This window comes from Homo sapiens, chromosome 22 (assembly GCF_000001405.40).
Source record: "Homo sapiens chromosome 22, GRCh38.p14 Primary Assembly".
Lineage (NCBI taxonomy): Eukaryota > Metazoa > Chordata > Mammalia > Primates > Hominidae > Homo > Homo sapiens.
In genome coordinates, this window is record NC_000022.11 from 17,700,634 (window position 1) to 17,722,905 (window position 22,272).

The 22,272-nt window shown below is 40.6% G+C and overlaps 1 protein-coding gene across 24 annotated transcripts in view, besides 2 other annotated features; it reads left to right on the forward strand.

Moving 5' to 3' along the window:
• The window catches only part of BCL2L13 (BCL2 like 13), a 101,979-nt gene that overhangs the window by 71,757 nt on the left and 7,950 nt on the right, over nucleotides 1–22,272 (forward strand). For 12 of the 24 annotated variants that reach the window (XM_047441286.1, XM_011546120.2, XM_011546119.2 and 9 more), the window contains one exon: nucleotides 1,610–1,753. The exons of 8 other annotated variants lie outside the window; for them this stretch is intronic. In XM_047441286.1, coding sequence (XP_047297242.1) covers nucleotides 1,610–1,753 — 144 coding nt within the window. Of the gene's footprint in view, nucleotides 1–1,609; nucleotides 3,152–6,147; nucleotides 6,193–22,272 lie in introns of those variants that run through there. 4 more of the 24 variants (XM_047441290.1, XM_047441293.1, NM_001363824.1 and 1 more) reach the window with 4 other exon arrangements.
• Nucleotides 5,680–5,729: an enhancer, noted in NCBI's record as "active region_18627". NCBI's record gives its function as "activates an Ori minimal core promoter by ATAC-STARR-seq in GM12878 lymphoblastoid cells {active_cell/tissue: GM12878}" and the evidence as "EXISTENCE:reporter gene assay evidence [ECO:0000049][PMID:35858748]".
• Nucleotides 5,750–5,799: an enhancer, noted in NCBI's record as "active region_18628". NCBI's record gives its function as "activates an Ori minimal core promoter by ATAC-STARR-seq in GM12878 lymphoblastoid cells {active_cell/tissue: GM12878}" and the evidence as "EXISTENCE:reporter gene assay evidence [ECO:0000049][PMID:35858748]".

A 22,272-nucleotide genomic window follows, 5' to 3' on the forward strand; every position in this document is an offset into this window, starting at 1 on the left:
AGTTTTTTGTTTGTTTGTTTAATAGTGTAAGTTTTCTTATTGAGGAAATGCCTAATGGATTCTTCTTTATAGCCCTATACTACTCCATCATTGTTAAGAAGGAGTTTTCAATATATTTTGGGCTGGAGTGCCTTTAGAATGTCAAGAAGTAAAGATATTATGTGTTCATTGCATGCTTCCTTTCAGATTTTGATAGAGATTCCCCCAGGGCTGCTTTCTCTTCGTTTCTTTAGAAGCCAAGGAATATTAGTTTGAAATATAAACTCATTGTTTTTTGTTTGTCCTCCTGCAGAAGTATTTTGTCGTCCCTCAGTTATTTCCTTGGCAGTCTACTAACAAGCAAATGGAATTGGTTTCATTTCCTTTTGCATTCCTTTTGCAGGCATATGGACCTCTTGATGTTTTAAACAAAAGAGATTGCATGCAGATGGCTACCTGAATACTTAGTTTTTTTCAATATGCATTTTTTTTTAAGGGAAGACAGGGACTCTAGTTAGTTTCTGTTGTAATTTTTGACGACTTTTAAGTATTGAGCCACATGGTTATTAGGTATAGATTGTAATGGCATCTTTTATGTTTGACTTTTGATGAGTTTTACAAGATAGCTCTTAGTTTTTAAAAGTTCTTATTTTCAAATAATAAAAGCACATGGTACAAAATGCAAAAAAGTACAGAAAGATATGCTTTGAAAAATAAAAGTTTTCTCTCATCCTTGTTGCCAGTCACCTAGTTCCCTTCCTTTTAGGCAACCACTATTACCAATTTCTTGCGTATTTTTCTGGAGACCCTGTAGGATTATATAGACATATATATATGTGTATATGTTTTTATTACACAAATGGTACTGTATGTATTCTTCTATAACTTGCCTTTTTTCACTTAAAGTAAATTGTGGTGATTGGGTAGTAAGCAATTTAACAACTATATATTTTACTGGATGACAATAATTTATTTAACTAGTCCCTGTTGGGTTGTTTTTCTAGTTTTCTGCTGTTATAAATAATGCTTCAGGCTGGGCGTGGTGGCACACGCCTATAATCCCAGCACTTTGGGAGACTGAGGTGGGCAGATCACTTGAGGCCAGGAGTTTGAGACCAGCCTGGCCAACATGGTGAAACCCCGTCTCTACTAAAAATACAAAAATTAGCCAGGCGTCATGGCGTACACTTGTAATCCCAGCTACTCAGGAGGCTGAGCAGAGAATCGCTTGAACCTGGGAGGCGGAGGCTGCAGTGAGCCAAGACTGTGCCACTGCCTGGATGAAAGAGCGAGACTCCATCTCAAAAAAAAAAAAAAAAAAGGAAAAAGAAATTAATTAATTAATAATGCATCAGTGAATTTCCTTCTATATATGTTATTTCTGTCACACACATACATGCACACACATGCCTAATTATTTTCAATAACTATTTCTACCTGCCTATTGTATAAAACCTACATGCAGTATTCAGAAAAATCCTAATAGAAGTTACTGTTTTATTTCCTTTATATAATGAAAATAAAAATACCTTAATGATGCATTTAAATATAATTTTCTAGTAGTTGAACATATAAAACACATTATAAGAATTTCAGTGTGGTTTTTTATTCTCTCATCTTTGCATTGAAGATTTTGGTGCCTCTGGTTTTGCTACGACAAATGCTTTTGGAATTGACAAGACGTGGTCAAGAACCTTTGAGCGCACTGCTGCAGTTTGGCGTGACATACCTGGAGGACTATTCGGCAGAGTACATCATTCAGCAAGGTGGCTGGGTATGAGCTGTTATATATTAAAAATATTTTCTTGAAAAAAAATTAGGTTTGTTGTTTTTCTTAAGAGATGGGTTCTTGCTGTGTTACCCGGGCTGGAGTGCAGTGTCTAATTGCTGGCACTATCATGGCAGGCTTCGGTCTCAAACTCCTGGGCTCAAGTGATCCTGCCTCAGGTCCTGAATAGCCAAGAGCACAGGCTGGGACTATAGGTGCCCACCACTGTGCCGTGCTCTATCCCGTACTTTTTGATATGTAATTATTATTATTATTCAGTTGGTTCAGTTGTTTATAAATTTTCCTTATATGTTCTTTGACCCTTGAATTACTTAGAAATGTATTTTTTAATTTCTAAATACTTACAGGTTTAAAAATTTTGTTTTCAATTACTAATTTAATTCTGTTTCATCAGAAAGCACGACCATCGTGGCATTGAAACTTGAGTTATAGCCTACTATCATGATCAATTTAAAAAATATATATATAGGGCTGGGTGCAGTGGTGCACATCTGTAATCCCAGTGCTTTGGGAGGCTGAGGTGGGTGAATCACCTGAGGTCAGGAGTTCAAGACCAGCCTGGTCAACATGACAAAACCCCATCTGTACAAAAAAATACAAAAAATTAACTGGGCTTGGTGGCATGTGCCTGTAATCCCAGCTACTCAGGAGGCCAAGGCAGGAGAATCACTTGAACCCGGGAGGCAGAGGTTGCAGTGAGCCAAGATGGCACCACTGCATTCCAGCCTGGGCAACAGAGCAACAACAACAACAACAACAAAATATATATATACACACACACACACACATATGTATATGTATATACACACATGTATATTTTTATGTATGTTTCAGAACATGTATTCTCTAATGGTTGGTGCAGAAGTCTGTACGTGTCCATTTACATTTAATCAGTCTTAATAATACGTATTTTAAATCTTTCAGTCATTTCCAATTATTTTGTCTAATTATTTACTAAGAGAGACATGTTCTATTTGCTACTATGGTGGTAGATTTTCCATTTTCCCTTTAGTTCTGTCAATTGTAGGTGACTAAAAGTTGTAATTATTGACCCCTGGACATTTATGCGGACTCTCTTTCTTTCTTTGGGCCTAGAAATGGTTTTTAAGTTTATTTGTTGTAATTTGCCCAACAGTCAGTGATTCTGTAGAGAGAGTACTTTTCATAAAGTATACTACTCATTATTGTTTTTTAGCCACTATGCATCTGAGGGTTTGAGTTAATTTTTAAAATATGTAAATTTAATTACTATGGATACTAATATCGAACATCCTAGGTTTACGTGCTTGGTAAATGCTTACTGAATAAAATCCTGAACATTTGTCTTAGGAAAATAAAAATATTTTTTGAGCTGTTCTTAAAAATAAGAATTGCGACAATTTATTGTTATTGTTGTCTTCCTACTTAAGTACTTTTTAAAACCTTTGGCTATTGTAGTGTATGGTTTGTATGATAGCCAGGAGACATCCCAGGTTAACTGCCATTTATCCCATATGGTGCTTTACAACAAGGGAAGAAAAATGCAGGGAATATTATGCACTCCCTTCTCAACTTTCAGTTTTATGATGATGTAGTACATCAAGGTTTGTTTGGTGATTGTAATTGGTTACAGAGAAAGTAAGTATATTACTCAACTCCAGTATCTGTGCCAAAAGAAAAGATCTACTGCATGGATAACTAGTTCATTAATACTTCTTTTTTTTTTGAAACAGTCTTGCTCTGTCATCCTGGCTTGAGTGCAGTGCGCAATTGCAGCCCACTGCAGCCTCCGCCTCCCAGGTTCAAGCTATTCTTGTGCCTCAGCCTCCTGAGTAGCAGAGATTACAGGTGTGTGCCACCATGACCAGCTACTTTTTGTATTTTTAGTAGAGATAGGGCTTCGCCATGTTGGCAGGCTGGTCTCAAACTCCTGGCCTCAAGTGATCCACCCACTTAGGCCTCCCAAAGTGCTGGGATTACAGGCATGAGCCACTGCACCTGGCCTTCATTAATATTTCAAATGTGTTTTATCTCTAAATTTGAATGTCCAATCTGTATTTCACATTGTTCGGTCTAAGCTCTCCATTTGCTTGTGTTTAAAACTAAGATATTAGGCCGGGTGCAGTGGCTTATGCCTATAATCCCAGCACTTTGGGAGGCCAAGGCAGGCGGATCACCTGAGGTCAGGAGTTTGAGACCATCCTGGCCAACATGGTGAGACCTCATCTCTACTAAAAATACAAAAATCATCTGGGTGTGGCTGAAGATGATGTGGAATGAGAAACAAATGTCAACATAATAAAATCTCAGTTAAAGTATTTTAAAAATTCTTAGTTGAGCAGCTCTGGGGGAATAAGGGCAAATATGCTTGTTATGAACTGCACTGAAATCTACCAAAGTTAATGTTTACTTTGTGTAGATCCATTTGTCTATTTTATTTATTTTTCCCAGTGAAAAGTGTGTTTTGATAGAGAACTTTTCATTCTATAAATACACTGTGAGTTACTAAAATATCATGAATTTTGTTTATTCCTGAAACATAGTTAAACTGTACATATGACATGGCTTATGTTAAAAATACCCAGTGCTCAGTTTTGAAAGATAGGCAAAAAAAAAAAAAAGTATAGGAGAAACTGAAGAATGTACACTTTTTTAGGGGGCACATTTTGCTGTAAATCTGGAAATTTGATAGACTTGATTGTGAAAACTGAGCATTAAAGGTTTTGATTGATTAAAAAAAAAATTATCTGGGTGTGGTGGCAGGCACCTGTAACACCAGCTACTTGGGAGGCTAAGGCAGGAGAATTGCTTAAACCAGGGAGGCAGAAGTTTCAGTGAGCTGAGATCGTGCCATTGCACTCCAGCCTGGGCAACAAGAGCGAAACTCTGTATCAAACAAACAAAAACCCAAGATACTGCATTTTTTTTTTTTTTTCAGATGTAGTCTCCCTGTGTCGCCCAGGCTGGAATGCAGTGGCACTATCTTGGCTCACTGCAAGCTCCGCCTCCCAGGTTCACGCCATTCTCCTGCCTCAGCCTCCCAAGTAGCTGGGACTACAGATGGCTGCCACCACACCCGGCTAATTTTTTGTATTTTTAGTAGAGATGGGTTTTCACTGTGTTAGCCAGGATGGTCTCGATCTCCTGACCTCGTGATCCACCCGCCTCAGCCTCCCAAAGTGCTGGGATTGCAGGCGTGAGCCACCGCGCCCGGCCGATATTGCTTTTTTTTTAATGCCAGTTGGTGAAAATGTATCCTGTGACATAAGCTGTCAACATGAATCTCCTTAAGATACTGTGTGCTGAACATTACATTGACAGCTCTTAAAACCCTTCCAGAAGAGAATCATTTGACCACATGATATCGCATGTCTGTTATATAAAGCCTGTGGTATGATTTCCACGGGGAATGTATTTGTCATTAGTCACTTGAACACAACATCAAGTGAAACAAACTGCCTACCTCTCAAGGTGCAGCTACTTTTGAAAACCTGCAGCAGAGGAGGTGGTGCCAGCAGCCATAATCTGTTGGATGAATGGAGTGATATAGCACATAGTCAGTTAGGAACAGGCAGGCTTTGGACATATAGATTTGAAGGAGAAAAATAATATTTTGTTTTCTGAATTATTAACAGAAATGGCTAGGACTTAGAAACAGGGTCTTGCTTTGTTGCCCTGGCTGGAGTACAGTGGCATGATCATGGCTCATTTGCAGCCTCAACTTCCTGGGCTCAAGTGATCCTCCCACCTCAGCCTCCCTAGTAGCTGGGACCACAGGTGTGCATGCACTACCACACTTGGCTTATTTTTTGCAGAGAGAGGTTTCACTATGTTGCCCAAGCTGGTCTCAAACTCCTGGCCTCAAGCAATCCTCCCCGCTTGGCCTCCCAAAGTGCTGGGATTACAGGCATGCGCCACCTTGCCCAGCCTGTTTTCTCTTTCTACCTTGTTTTTTTTTTTTTTTCACTCTGCCTTTTTACCCGGCGAATGATGAACTGAGAAAAGGATTAGAAATCACAAGATTTGTTTCTTGCCCCAGCTCTGCCAAATACTAGCCCTGTGTTTTGGAAGGATTCATTTAACTTCTCTGAACCTCAGTTTCAACTACAAAAAGGGAAGAATAGCTTCTCTGTCTCACAAAAATAATGATGTGAAAGTGTTTTGTGAAAATGTCACACTTTTACAAATGCCAGGTTTTCACATGCGTCTCTGAAGAGTGTGGTTTTTTTCCCTCTCCTTAAGTCTGATCACCATTTCCTCTTAGTTTCAGTTTTGACTTTTATTTGCCCTGCAGCCCGGTGAGGGCACAGACTGGTTCATGTGCTGTGATTCTCCCTGAGTCATCCTTGCTCCCTCCCTCCTCATTCTCTTTTCATTTCCTGGGCTTGTGTTGCTACGTTAGAAGTCTGTCTGTCTCCTGGAAAGGGCAGAGCAAGTCCACTGTGGTAAGGCTTGTATTTTACTTTCTCCGTCGTCACATGATAAATACTTCTTGTGAAAGATTTACTTTTAGATTCCATAAAAGATTACTGGAGGGAATGTCATCTGTCTATTGTAATATTTAAGTATTTTGAATAAAATTAATCTTTGTCATTTTCTCTTGACATGAAGCTTCTGATTTTAGAATAGGTTTTTGTTTGTTTAATCTAGGATATTTAAAGACTATCTCTTGGAAGCTTTTAGGTTAATAATTTGTTAGAATAGTTTTCATATTGTGGGAGGTGACACACAGGGATGATCTGAAATTAATGAAGTGGGTTGCAGCTAAAATCAATTTAGTAAGAGTAAGTACTGTTTTGGGAAAATCTGCCTGCTGTATATGTGGGTGTGGATGTTTACTGTGTTGTACTCTGAAATGTGTTTTTTGTGGATCTTCCTCATCAAGTTGGGTGGAAAATTACTTCTCTGTAATTTCTTCAGCACTCTCCATTTTCTTATTTTAGGTTAATAATGATCTGAGAGGCGCATTTGGTTATAAGGGTCCAAAGCAGTGATCTGTTTCCATTTTGCGACTTCGAGGCCTCAGAAATATAAAACTAGCTGGTTGATCCCGGCTAGTTTTATATTTTTGAGCCCTCAAAGTTACAAAATGTCAGTGGAGCCTTTGTGTGTTTTGTGTCAGTGGAGCCAAAGAGATGGATACTCCCAACAATACAAATATTTTATATGAAGAATGATTTAGATTGTCAGAATCGTTCTAAGACTACTTGTAGATGTTATTCTAATGTAAGTTGTAACTAACGTATTATCCAAAACAGCTCTTTTTCTTGACAGATATATATATAAAGTCTGAGAAGTAATGATAGAGGTTTGTTGGCATAAATCTTAAGGGAAATGAGTCCTTAGAAAATTTACCAACGTAGATGGGCTTTGGAATTTTGCCAAAGCTTCTTCAGATGGAAAAGTTAAGTTCATAGGAGCTCAGCTCAGCAGCAGCTGTGTCTCAGAAGGTAAAATATTGCTTGAGGGGGCAGAATAATTTGTAACTGATGTGACCCCCTGCCCCCACCAAAAAAAAAGTGAAACAAAAAAATACAATCAATATAGACATCATGATGCAGCCAATTTTTGTAATAGGTCTCTGAGCAATTGTCAACCTGATTTTTACTTAGGTCTACCACCAAAGTAAAGTTATGTTTGTATTTTATTTTACATTTATTTTGATACGTTCCTTTACTTAGTTTTTTACTTAGTTCCTACCACCAAAGCAAAGTTATATTTGTATTTTATTTTACATTTATTTTGTTATATTCCTTTTATCTACTTAGGTTTCTTCTCTACTTCCCTTTTTAATTGAAGAGTTTAATGCATGTATCTGTGTGTTTGCTTGAAAAAAAACACCAAGTATAACATGTTCTATCTATGAATACTTCTGGCCATTAACTCAAAAGGTACTATATTACAGACAGAAAAGCACCAGAAAGCAATCAGGGACTTCATCTAAGAGGTAGGACAGCATAGTTGGTAAAAATACAGACCCTGGAGGCAAACTGCCTGGGCTTGAATCCCAGCTTTATTACTTTGGGAAAACTACTTATCTTCTTTACTTGTTTTGGTATCCATGTCTGTGAAATGGAAGTAATAATAATCCTCTCATAGCATTGTTGTGAGGTTTCAATAGATGAAGTGAAGACTTTAGAAGGGCACATGATAAGAATTATATAAGGGTTACCTATTATTGCTATCCAATTTGTCATAGCAAGCTAAGGGACCTTGGGCAAGTTACTCAAACCCTTTGGCTTCATTTATTTAAAAACAAAAACAAAAAAGACGCAGTTCTCTGCTTCTTTGTGCATATTTAAACTCATGGTTTATCCCATGAGTTTTATATTTTTGAGCCCTCGAAATTACTCCTTTGCATTTTATGTCAGTGAAGCCAAAGAGACAGATACTCTCAACAACACAAATATTTTGTATTAAAAACTATTTAGATTGTTAGAATGGTTCCGAGGCTACTTGTAGATATTATTCTTCTAATATGATAAGTTGTAAGTAATATATTATCCAAAACAGCTCTTTTTCTTTTAGTGAAAGCCTGCTCTTCATTATGACATTAATTATTAAGAGAGGCTCGGCCGAGCATGGTGGCTAACGCCTGTAATACCAGCACTTTGGGAGGCCGAGGTGGGTGACTCACAAGGTCAGGAGATCGAGACCATCCTGACTAACACGGTGAAACCCCGTCTCTACTAAAAAATACAAAAAATTAGCTGGGCGTGGTGGCAGGCACCTGTAGTCCCAGCTACTCGGGAGGCTGAGGCAGGAGAATGGCGTGAACCCAGGAGGCAGAGGTTGCAGTGAGCCAAGACTGCGCCACTGCACTCCAGCCTGGGCGACAGAGTGAGACTCCATCTCAAAAACAAAACAAAACAAAAAAAAGAGGCTCCAGCCCGGTGACATGGCAAAACCCTGTCTCAAAAATATAAAACTGAGGCTGGACGTGGTGGCTCACGCCTGTAATCCCAACACTTTGGGAGGCCAAGGTGGGCAGATCACCTGAAGTCCGGAGTTCGAGACCAGCCTGGCCAACGTGGTGAAACCCCATCTCTATGAAAAATACAAAAATTAGCCAGGCATGGTCGTGCATGCCTGTAGTCCCAGCAACTCGGGAGGCTGAGGCAGGAGAATTGCTTGAACCCAGGAGGCGGAGGTTGCAGTGAACCAGGATTGTGCCTCTGCGCTCCAACCTGGGTGAACAGAGAGAGACTCTGTCTCAGGAAAGATAAATAAATAAATGAAATAAAAAATAGAAAGATTAGCCAGGCATGGTGGTGGGTTCCTGTAATCCCAACTACTCAGGTGGCTGAGGCAGGAGAATCTCTTGAACCCAGGTTGCAGAACCCAGGAGCTGAGATTGTGCTGCTGCACTCCAGCCTAGGCAACAGAGTGCTATTAAAACAAAAGAAAACATTGACCGGGTGCAGTGGCTCACTCCTGTAATCCCAGCACTTTGGGAGGCCGAGGCAGGCAGATTGCCCAAGTCCAGGAGCTCAAGACCAGCCTGGGCAACATGGTGAGTGAGAGCCCATCTCTACAAAAAATATAAAAATTAACTGGAAGTAATCTGTGGTCCCATTTACTCAGGAGGCTGAGGCAGGAGGATCACTTGAGCCTGGGAGGTCAAGGCTGCAGTAAGCCAAGATTGCGCCACTGACCTCCAGCCTGGGTAACAGTAAGACCTTGTCTTAAAAAAAAAAAAAAAAAAAAAAAAAGAGGCTGCTATTTTTATATTTTTGTTTTATGTGAATTGGTCCCCAGGAGTAAAAGCTTAGTAATCTGTTCTTTCTTGTAAGACTTCTTACATAACAGCACAGAATGTTCAGTGAATCTTCATTAAAATGTCACGTCCTAAATACAGAAATACATTGTAAGGTAGGGAGGCCATGACAGCAAGACATAAAGCTATTTAATCTGAATTGGCCGGGTGCAGTGGCTCACACCTGTAATCCCAGCACTTCGGGAGGCCGAGGCAGGCAGATCATTTGAGGTCAGGACTTTGAGACCAGCAACATGGTGAATCCCTGTCTCTACTAAAAATTAAAAAAAAAAATTCTCCGGGCATGGTGGCGCACACCTGTAATCTTAGCTGCTCCGGAGGCTGAGGCAGGGGAATCGCTTGAACTTGGGAGGCGGAGGTTGCGGTGAGCTGAGATCACGCCACTGCACTCCAGCCTGGGTGACAGAGCAAGACTCTGTCTCAAAAAAAAGTAAATAAAAATAAAAAATAAATAAATGCCTGTAATCCCAGCACTTTGGGAGGCCGAGGTGGGCAGATCACGAGGTCAGGAGATCGAGACCATCCTGGCTAACACGGTGAAACCCCGTCTCTACTAAAAATACAAAAAAATTAGCCGGGCGTGGTGGTGGGCACCCATAGTTCCAGCTACTCGGGAGGCTGAGGCAGGAGAATGGTATGAATCCAAGAGGCGGAGCTTGCAGTGAGTCAAGATCGAGCCACTGCACTCTAGGCTGGGCGACAGAGCGAGACTCCGTCTCAAAAAAAATAAAAATAAAAAAAAATAAATAAATAAATCTGAATTGGCTTTTAAACAATATATTACGCCAAAGTTGTGATCAGACAAACTTGATCTAATGTCTTAGATGAGATGAAAAGATCCTCTAGATGTGGAACAAAGAACGTTCTTCAATCTTTTGTTAACTTTGAGCTGTTAAAAATAAGGGGAAAAGCCAGGCGTGGTGGTGCGGTGGCTCATGCCTGTAATCCCAGCAACTCAAGAGGCTGAGGTGGGAGGATCTATTGAGCCCAGGATTTTCAGGCTGTAGTGAGTTACGATTATGCCACTGCACTGTAGCCCCTGGGTGACAGAGTGAGACCCTCATTAAAAAATAATCATAAGAGGAAGAGACATTTTACTTTTAATTTTCAGTTTGTTGACTTTTCCCTTATTTCTTCATGATGGGCCTTTTTTTTTTTGAGACAGGGTTTCACTCTGTTGGCCAGGCTGGAGCGCAGTGGCACAATCTCGGCTCACTGCATCCTTTACCTCCTGGGCTCAAACGATCCTCCCACCTCAGCCTCTTGAGTAGCTGGGACCACAGGCATGCACCACCACACTCAACTAATTTTTGTATGTTTTTGTAGAGGTGCAATTTTGCCATGCTGCCCAGGCTGGTCACAAAATCCTGGGCTCAAGTGATTGCCTGCCTCTGCCTCCCAGAGTGCTAAGGTTACAGGCGTGAGCCACCACACCCAGCCATGATGGTACTTTTGAAATTTCCATTTTACTTACTTGGCTTAGAGCCCTAAAGGTCTGTTTACTGAGAACTAAAATTCTTAGTGTTTTCGTTATGACTCTTGTTTTTGTTTTTGCTTATTTAATCAGTTACTGCTATTAGAGGCTCTGTTTTTAGAAGTGCAGGTAAGTAACCTGTTGAGAATTCCTATCAGTTGTCACTTGAGACCTCTCTGATCACTGGATGACCCTTCTGTTTGAAGAACTGTGTAATTGTAAGGCACATCTTTTGACATGGCATGAAAACAGATTACAAAACTTGTATAGTATGAATAGAAAGTGAGAGCAGAGGTGACTCCAAGATTAAGAATAAAGAACATAAGAAATTATGTTCCTTGTCTCCAGGTAACTCAAGTTTGGAGGTGGGAGTTTAATAACGTTTTTTGAAGGTTTTTTTTTTTTGGTGTAAATTTTTAATGTAAGTGAAAGACTAGGAAGAGTACACTGTTTTAAGCCACTTGTAGTGAAGTAACTGATGTTCTTTGACTATTTTTCGTAACTCTGAAATGCAAATTATTTGATAAAATTGGATGATCTTCTCATGGTGAGACTGTGACAGATTTACTCAGTATTGTATATTAACTTTCCCAACTTGTTCTTCATTTAACAAAAAGACTTAGCCTAGTTTTAAAATGTTGATAGTTTCAATAATGAAAAAAGTTTAATCCTCCACAATGCCTCATCACTTTCCTGTTAGTGACATTACATTACAGAGATTTGAGGATGGAGGATTACAAAGCTGCTAAGCCATAGTATTAGTTTCTCATTTGGAAATTTTGAAAGAGCAAATAAATAACATAAGTGTACTACAGTTAATAAGGGACAAATGGGAACTTTGTGCTACCTTATACTACCATTTTCTTCTTCCTTGTAAAATTACTCTGTACCTGAGCCTTTCTTTCTGATCTTCACAAAATGGAGGTTTTTGAAGACATGACTTAATAAACAGATAAGCCTTTGGGTATATAAATTATGTGACACAGTAATTCCTTAGTAACAGATGTTAGAGGATCTGCATGACTCATTCGGATTATGTTCTGGCAAAAAGATAGGTAAATACAACTTTACAGGAAAATTTAGCTTAACTGTTGATATGGCTTTGGTGAGTGGGTTCTCCTCCGTCTTGGACCTCCAGTCTTTCAGGAAGATTACAGAAATGTTTCCCTAAGTAAACAGTAGCTATTTTAATTCATGTTGCCTACTGTCATTCTTTGTTATGGTGACTTACCAAGAATCAGCAAAGTTTGGGATATTACTGAAGTGATTGTAAATATTCAGTGGATGAAGCGATTTACCTTACAGTTAATGAAATGTCTAAATCATCTTACCTATGCCTGTTCATTGTGCCAGAGTATGTATGGGCTTCGGGTATGGGAGAGATCAAGAATAAGGTTAAATCGATTACAGCAGAATTATACCCTTTTACATTTAACCAGATATAATGCCTGGGTCCTACCTTTATTAAGGATTCTAATTTAATTGTTATGGGTTGTAATGTGCTTCTAGGTAGCAAAGTTTGAGGACCTCCATGTTACATAATCTCCCCAACTGCATAACAGACTCTTGAAACAGAGATTATAATAATCTTACATTTCTCTCTTCAACATAAGAATGTGACTATGAATTGATTAGATGCTGATTCTGTACGTACTAGTTAAACACACCCTAAACATAAAAGAGCCAATTATTTAGTTGCTCAAACTAAACAAATATCAAGAAAGCCATGGTAAAGTACAGTTCTTTAGTAGGTATTGTAGAATATAGAGCCCATCAATTTATGATGGGGCACATTCCAATAAATAAACCCATCATAAGTTGAAAATGCATTTTTTTTTTTTTTTTTTGGAGATGGAGTCTCGCTCTGTCGCCCAGGCAGGAGTGCTGTGGTACGATCTCAGCTCACTGCAACCTCCGCCTCCTGGGTTCAAGTGATTCTCCTGCCTCAGCCTCCCGAGTAGCTGGGACTACAGGCATGCACCACCACACCCAGCTAATTTTTGTATTTTTAGTAGAGATGGGGTTTCACCATGTTGGCCAGGATGGTCTCCATCTCTTGACCTCGTGATCCACCCACCTCAGCCTCCCAAAGTGCTGGGATTACAGGCATGAGCCACTGCGCCCAGCCAAAAATGCATTTAATGCTCTGATAAACCCATGGTAAAGTCAAAATATTATAAGTGGAACCATCATAAGTTGGGGACTGTCTATACAAAGAAAAAAAATGGGCCAGGCACAGTGGCTCATGCTTGTAATCCCAACAGTTTGGGAGGCCGAGGCGGGCGAATCACTTGAGGTCAGGAGTTCGAGACCAGCCTGGCCAACACCATGGTGATACCCTATTTCTACCAAAAGTATTTTAAAAAAATTAGCCAGGTGTGGCTGGGCGCGGAGGCTCACACCTGTAATCCCAGCACTTTGGGAGGCCGAGGCAGGTGGATCACGAGGTCAGGAGATCGAGACCATCCTGGCTAACATGGTGAAACCCCGTCTCTACTAAAAATACAAAAAGTTAGCCGGGCGTGGTGGCGGGCACCTGTAGTCCCAGCTACTCGGGAGGCTGAGGCAGGAGAAAGGCGTGAACCCGGGAGGTGGAGCTTGGAGTGAGCAGAGATTGCGCCACTGCACTCCAGCCTGGGCAACAGAGTGAGACTCCGTCTCAAAAAAAAAATTAGCCAGGTGTGATGGCGCACACCTGTAATCCCAGCTACTTGGGAGGCTGAGGCAGGAGAATCGCTTGAACTCGGGAGGCGGAGGTTGCAGCGAGCCAAGATGGTGCAACTGCACTCCAGCCTGGGTGACAGAGTGAGACTCCATCTCAAAAAAAAAAATGGTAGTTGTGAAGTAAAGTAGGACTTAATCAGGAAAGGCTTCTGTAAAGAAGTATGGTCACATTTTGAAGTAAGTAAAGGACTTTTGTTGAAAAGCAGCAAGGATTCGTTAGATCAGCTTAGGTAGCTTGGGGGGACCATGACTCAACAGTAACAAAAGACCTCTACTAGAACGTAGAAAGGTGTTTATTATGTTTTGAATCTTGTATATTTGAACCGTTTATGATATATCCTAAACTGAGCTTTGGTTATGATCTGAGATTATTCAGTCTTGTTTAGACCTCCACTGAGTGTCTTTCTTCTTTGTTTATAGTAGAAGTTGGAAAACGTATATTTCCTCTTCAGAGAGACTTGCAGGTCTAGAATGGCAGGTTATGGTACACGTTATGTTGCACATAAAGAGTGTTCTGGCCGGGCATGGTGGCTCATGCCTATAATCCCAGCACTTTGAGAGGATCACTGAAGCCCAGAAATTTGAGACCAGCCTGGGCAACATAGCAAGACCTCGTCTCTACTAAAAATCATAAGGAAAAGAAAAGAATGTTTCATCAATGTGGGCAAAGATGCAGAAAGAGAAGTGACAGCTATTCAGTGGAAAAGACCCCAGGTCCAAGAACTGGGCCAGCCTTATTAAGTTTCCAAAGACTTCAGTGTTAATTTTATATATATATATATATATATATATATATATATATATATATATATATATTTTTTTTTTTTTTTTTTTTTTTTTTTTTTTTTGAGGTAGGGTCTCGGTTACCCAGGCTGGAGTACAGTGGTGCAGACTTGGCTCACTACAACCTCCACTTCCCAGGCTCTAGGAATCCTCCTACCTCAGCCTCCTGAGTAGCTGGGACTACAGGCATGCGCAACCACTCCCGGCCAATTTTGGTATTTTTTGTAGAGATAGGATCTCACTGTGTCACCCAGGGTAGTCTCGAACTCCTGGGCTCAAACAATCCACCCACCTCGGCCTCCCAAAGTGCTGGGATTACAGGCGTCAGCCACTGCACCCAGCCTATATTAATGTAACTATACATAACATTATATTAATATAATAAAATATGTATTGAATCCTGTGAGGCACATGGGAAGAGTCTGGCTGAGAAAAGTGAAACCAGTGCAACAAAAATATAAAAATATATCCTTAGTCTCCAGGAGCTTAGAGTTATAAGGCAGATCCACACTATTTCCTGTATGTTTTATAGCAAGGAGTAACAGATAAATCCTATGAGTTTAGAAGTAACAAGAAGGATTCAGATGGGCAGAATTGGGAGAGCATTCTGGACTTTCTGGATTGATGGGACAGTGTGACTTCAGTCATTCTGTTTGGGGGTTGGAATTGTTTTTAGCACCAGTGCTGTGTGACCTTGGACAACAAAGACACAGGTACAGTTCAGAGGTATGGAAATACAGAGATGAATAAAGAGCTGTACCTAACAGTACTTGATGTTTAGAGCTTTTATATCAAAGATGGGACCAACTTTCTCATCATCCAAGCATTTATTGAGCATTACTGTTTGCTCAGCATATGTTAGGCATTACCTGGGGGATAACAAAGAAGTTTAAAGCATGTTTTCTCCCTTGAAGCATTTATAATGTCATTGAGAAGATGACTAATACATGTGAAAAAATTAGTGAGAAGTATGGTACAAAATAGATATTTTGATAGTTTGTGTGGTCCAGACTCAGTGCCGTCTAGGAGTTCAGGAGGAATAAGAGAGGAAGATTAAGTACAGTGGAACTTAAGCCAGACCCTGCTGGAGCCGGATCAGGGTCTTAAACTGGGGTCCATAGATGTGCTTCAGGGAGTCTAAAATTCCCTCTAAAATGGTATGCTGCTTTGTGTGAAAGCACAGTTTTAAGGCAGAGAGGTCTTAATACCTTTCATCATATTTGCAAAACCTTTTCTGCTCCCCTAAAATGTTAATACCAGTATCTATGTGAATAAGGAGACAGCGCTTGGGAATTTAGTATGGCATTTGTAGGGCACAATGAGTAACCTGCCAGGAGAAGCCTCCCCTCCCATAGGAAACACCTAGCACACAATTACAGAGAGATTTGGGTGAAATGATGGCCCTAGCGATAGAGAAGAAAGATTGACTTTACCTCCTCTAATGCCCTTCACTGTGCTGTAGCCTTTCAAAAATTTATGTTTGGTTTCCTAGGAAAACATTAATGTGCTCAAGAAGGGATAATGTATCATTCTAAATATTGTATGAGTTTGCCGGCTTGCTTTTTAACTGAGTCAGAAAATTATAAATAGACTTCAAATGTAGAACTACTTTATTTTGTAACATTCAAACTGAGCCTTTATGTAATGGCCGGATGGTACCTTAGATTCATCTTTTCTCCTCTAAGTAATTGATGGTGTGTAAGAGGTGCCATATTGTGGGACAGGGTCTTGAATTCATGTCTCAGCAAGACTGAGGGGGAAACATGCACCTTTTATGAGATAGAGGCTGATAGAGGCAATGTTTTATATCAAGAAAGGTACTGATATTTTACTTCTCGTTCATTGGCCTAATCTTTCCTCCTCCAGCTCCAGCTTTGCCTTTCTTCACCCCCTGTCCTATGCTTTGGCATACAGAAGAGCCAGTAGTCTGCATATATGATGATACTTTTCAGCACCATGTTTTTGTTTATGCTTTTCCTTCTGCCTGGAATATCTTGCTCATCTTTGATCTGCTGGTTTTCTCTTTCATTCTTTAAGATCCAACTTTGGCCAGGCACAGTGGCTCACACCTATAATCCCAGCTCTTTGGGAGGCTGAGGTGGGTGGATCACTTGAGGTCAGGAGTTCAAAACCAGTGTGGCTGACGTGGTGAAAACCCATCTTCAGTGAAAATACAAAAATTAGAAGAGTTAGCCAGGTGTGGTGGCAGGCAGCCTGGGGCAACAGAGTGAGACTCTGTCTCAAAAAAGATCCAATGTTGTTGTTCCCTCTTCCGTGAATCTCTCATGTTCCCAGAGTACCCTGTTTGTCTCCAATGCTATTTCTTTTTTTTGTAGAGATGGGGTCTTACCATCTTACCCAGGTGGTCTCTAATTCCTGGGCTCAAGCTTATCCTCCTGCCTGGGCGTCCAAAAGTGCTGGGATTTAAGGTGTGAGACAACAATGCCCGGCCTCTGTTACTGTATTTTAAACTCTTTGAAGGTAGAGATTGTTTTATTACCAGCACCTAAAGAGCACAGTTCCTGATAAGAAGAAGCCAGGAATTGGAGAAACCCAATATGATTCCCAGATTTTTGGCTTAACTTACTGTTTTTTTTATATCATCCAAGTTGGATTGCAGGCTTTTAGGAGTCTTTGCATTGCTTCTTATGAAAGACAACGATTGAGGCCAGGCGTGGTGGCTCACACTTGTAATCCTAACACTTTGGTAGGCCAAAGCAGGCAGATTGCTTAAGATCAGGAATTTGAGACCAGCCTGGGCAACATGGCAAAACACTGTCTCTACAAAAAATGTAAAAATTAGCCAGTCATGATGGTGCATGCCTGTGGTCCTAGCTACTCTGAAGGCTGAAGTAGGAGGGTTGCTTGAGCCCTGGGGGCAGAGGTTGCAGTGAGCTGTGTTCTCGCCACAGCACTCTAGCCTGGGCAACAGAGAGAGACCCTGGCTCGAAAAGAAGAGAAGAGAAAAGAAAAGAACAGGAGGGGAGGGAAGGGGAAGATTGCTTATATTAGAGTAATACAGGGAGGGAGGGAGGGAAAAGAAGATTGCTTACATTAGAGTAATACCAGAAAATGTTGATGGAAGGGAAGAGATGTATTTAGATATTAGAAGATATATTTAGGAATAAATACATTGAGATATATTTAGTACTTAATGATTAAATAAAAGGAGGGGAAAATGATGAGATAGATGCTAGCCAAAATATTAGGTATGGGGTAAGACAGAAGTGATGTAGAGTTAGTACTTGTAGTTTATAGTCTTCAGTACGACAAGCATTCTCTTCTGGCTGGCTGTATTGCGTGAGTTCTGCAGTTGATGGATATATAGACTTTATGTACTGCATTTGGTTGTGAGGTACTCTTTGTTAGCATTCATTATTGATGATGGTCCCAGAAATGTGTAATGGTTTTACATTATGCCTATACTAATGAAAATGTAATGAGAGTTTGAAAGAGATGAAATCCCGTAAGATTATAGCAGTGACAGTCTGTTTTAGCCATGTGGGGTTTGAAGTCTGGGAAAGGAATCCATATGAGGAATGGCACTAATGGCAGAGATCTTTTTGAAGATTTTTAAAAATTATTAATTAGCATAGACTACTAGTTCCTCTCATAGACCTAGTTTTTAGGACACCTTGTTTATCTCCCTGTTTCCTTTAGTCTCAACCCAATTACAAGCACCTTGCAATTATATCAGTATCTAATTTTGTAGCAGTCTTATTTAAGAATTAAAAACGCGGTCAGGTGTGGTGGCTCATGCCTGTAATCCCAGCACTTTGGGAGGCTGAGGTGGGTGGATTACTTGAGATCAGGAGTTCAAGACTAGCCTGGGCAACATGGTGAAACCCCGTATCTACAAAAATACAACAGCCAGGCACAGTGGTGCATGCCTGTAATCCCAGCTACTTGGGAGGCTGAGGCAGAAGAATTGCCTGAACCCAGGAGGCCAAGGTTGCAGTGAGGCGAGATGGCACCACTACACTCCAGCCTGGGAGACAAAGCAAGGCTCTGTCTCAAAAAAAAAAAAAAAAAAAAAAAAGAATAAAAAATTCTCACAATCCAACATAAAAACACAACTCTATTTAAAAATGGGCAAAAGATTTGAATTACACGTCATTCTAAAGAAAATGTACAAATGGCCAATTAGCACATGAAAAGATGTTCAACATCATTATTTTCAGAAATGTTTTGGAATTCCAAAAATATTTGGAAATATTTTTCTAAATTTTTTGGAGAATAATTTGACGTAAAATTACCATATGATCTGGCAGTTTTACTCCTGCTGTATTCAAAATAATAAAAACATTCAAACAAAAACTAGTACATGGACATTTATAACAACACTATTCTAAAGAGTAGAATCAACCCAAATGTTCACCAGCTAATTAATAAGTAAAATGTCGTGCCTACCTACAATGAAATATTATTCTCAGCCATAAAGAAGAATGAAGTACGGCCGAGGCAGGTGGATCATGAGGTCAAGAGATCGAGACCATCCTGGCCAACTTGGTGAAACCCCATCTCTACTAAAAATACAAAAATTAGCTGGGCGTGGTGGTGGGCGCCTGTAATCCCAGCTACTCAGGAGGCTGAGGCAGGATAATCGCTGGAATCCGGGAGGCGGAGGTTGCAGTGAGCCGAGATCACGCCACTGCACTCCAGCCTGGCGAAAGAGTGAGACTCCATCTCAAAAAAAAAAAAAAAAAAAAAAAGAATGAAGTATGGATACATGCTACAACATGGGTGGGCCTTGAAAACATTATGCTAAGTGGAAGCAGCCAGATACAGAAGGCTATATTGCATGACTCCATTTCTACTTCTCAGAATAGGCAATCCGTAGAGATAGAACGTAGATTAGTGATTGCCAGGGGATGAAAAGGGGGAGAATGGAGAGTGACTACCAAAGGGTGTCTTTTTGGGATGATGGAAATTTTCTGGCAATTGTAATGTGGTTGCACAACACTATGAATATACTAAAAACCACTGAATGGTACACCTAGAAATGGTGGGTTTCATTTTCTTTCTTTCTTTCTTTCTTTCTTTCGTTAGAGACAGGGTCTCGTTCTGTCATTCAGGCTGCAGTGCAGTGGCACGATCATGGCTCACTGTAGCCTTGACCTCCCAGGCTCAAGTGATTCTCCCACCTCAGCCTCCTGAGTAGCTGAGTAGCTGGGACTACAGGTGTACATCACCAAGACCAGCTAATTTTTTAAATTTTTTAATTTTTCTTTTTTTGAGATGGAGTTTCACTCTTGTTGTCCAGGCCGGAGTGCACTGGCGCGATCTCGGCTCACCACAACCTCCACCTCCCAGGTTCAAGTGATTCTCCTGCCTCAGCCTTCCAAGTAGCTGGGATTACAGGCATGTGCCACCATGCCTGGCTAATTTTTTTGTATTTTTACATGTAGTAGAGATGGGGTTTCTCCATGTTGATCAGGCTGGTCTCGAACTCCTGACCTCAGGCGATCAGCCTGCCTCCGCCTCCCAAAGTGCTGGGATTACAGGCGTGAGCCACCGTGCCCGGCCTTAATTTTTTTTTTTTTTTTAGAGGCGGGATCTCACTGTGTTGCCCAGGTTGGTTTCAAATTCCTGGGCTGAAGTGATCCTCTCTCCTTTGCCTTCCAAAATGTTGGGATTATAGGTGTGAGCCACTGTGCCTGGCTATGAATTTTTATGTTATGTGAATTTTATGAATATGAATCTCAATACTAAAAGAATAAAAAGTTTTTAAAAATTGATAATAACAGGCCGGGCGCGGTGGCTCACGCCTGTATTCCCAGAACTTTAGGAGGCCGAGGCGGGTGGATCACGAGGTCAGGAGATCGAGACCATCCTGGCTAACATAGTAGAAACCCTGTCTCTACTAAAAATACAAAAAATTAGCCAGGCATGGTGGCGGGCGCCTGTAGTCCCAGCTACTCGGGGGGAGGCTGAGGCAGGAGAATGGCATGAACCCGGGAGGTGGAGCTTACAGTGAGCCGAGATCGTGCCACTGTACTCCAGCCTGGGGGACAGGGCGAGACTCCGTCTCAAAAAAAAAAAATATATATATATTTCCACGTGCCCCACGCCGCATTTCAGATGTGCGAAATTCAGACATTCAGGAGCCTCTTCACCTGATTCAAATTGTTCCACAGTTCCTGTGGGGATTGTTGAGTATCTACTAATCTCATGTTCCCAGGAAGTAGCAGAGCCCTGTTCATATTTACATTCTTTTAGTTTTTAAATTTTTGTTATTTTTTAATTTAAAAAATTTTGTTATGCTGCAAAAAGCTTTATTCCATTTAGTCCAGGGCTTGGGAGAGGGCTTCAGCGTGGTTAAAAAAATACATTCTTTTAAATAAATGGAAATAGTTTTTTTTTTTAAGTCATGACACTTATAAGAAATTTTTTTTTTTTTTTTTTGAGACGTAAGTCTTAATGCCACCCAGGCTGGAGTGCAGTGGTGCGATCTCAGCTTACTGCAACCTCTGCTCCCTGGGTTCAAGCAATTCTCCTGCCTCAGCCTCCCAAGGAGCTGGGATTACAGGCATGTGCCACCACGCCTGGCTAATTTTTGTATTTTTTAGTAGAGGCAGGGTTTTGCCATGTTGGCCAGGCTGGTTTCAAACTCCTGACCTCAGGTGATCCACCCACCTTAGCCTCCCAAAGTGCTGGGATTACAGGCGTGAGCCACCACACCCGGCTAATTTTTTATGTTTTTAGTAGAGACGGGGTTTCACCGTGTTAGCCAGGATGGTCTCGATCTCCTGACCTCGTGATCTGCCCTGCTCGGCCTCCCAAAGTGCTGGGATTACAGGCATGAGCCACCGCGCCCGGCCAAGAAATTTTTATGATGCACACTTTTCTTGTTACCTTGCCCCTTAGAAATAACTCATAATGGTTTGGTGTACGTTTTTCTAAACATGTGTTTTGCTTATATAAACATTTTATTATGTATAAATATATGCAAATAAGTAGATATGTATATATGTGCATTTAGTAAATAGGATCATACCATCCATTTTCCCACAGAGTTATCTTTGCCACAAATCATGTGACCTTATATATCTAGTTCTGGATTCTATTTTATTTAATTGGTCTAATTGCCTCTGTTTTTTTTGGAATTGAGACAAGATCTTGCTCTGTCATCCAGGCTGGACTACAGTGGCACGATCATAGCTCAGTGCAGACTCAAACTCCTGGGCTCAAGGGATCATCCCATTTCAGCCTCCTGAGTTGAGTAGATGAGACTACAGGGGTGTGTGTGTGTGTGTGTGTGTGTGTGTGTGTGTGTGTGTGTATGTAGAGATGATGTCTTACTATGTTGCTCAAGCTTGTCTTGAACTCCTGGCCTCAAATGATCCTCCTGCCTCAGCTTCCCAAAGTGCTGGGATTACAGGTATGAACCACTGTGCCCAGCCAGGTCTAATTGCCTATTTTTAAGCTCTTACCATGCTTATACAATCAGTGTGCCTTTGTAATGGGTTGAGTAGATACCTGGTAGTGTCAGCTCTCAAACTGTTGTTTTTCAAGATCAGCTTAAATTCCTTGGCCTTTTTAAATTGCTATATAGATTTTAGAATTAATTAGTTGTCAATTTCCATAAGAAAAAACCTGGTAGGATTTTATATTGGAGATTGTATTGAACCAAAGGGTTAATCTGGGAATAGCTGACATCTTTACAATAGTTTTCCAATCTATGAGCATGATATATATATCCCTTTAGGATATCTTTAATTTCTTTCAATAATACTTTGTAGTTTTTTATGTAGAGTTATTGTACAA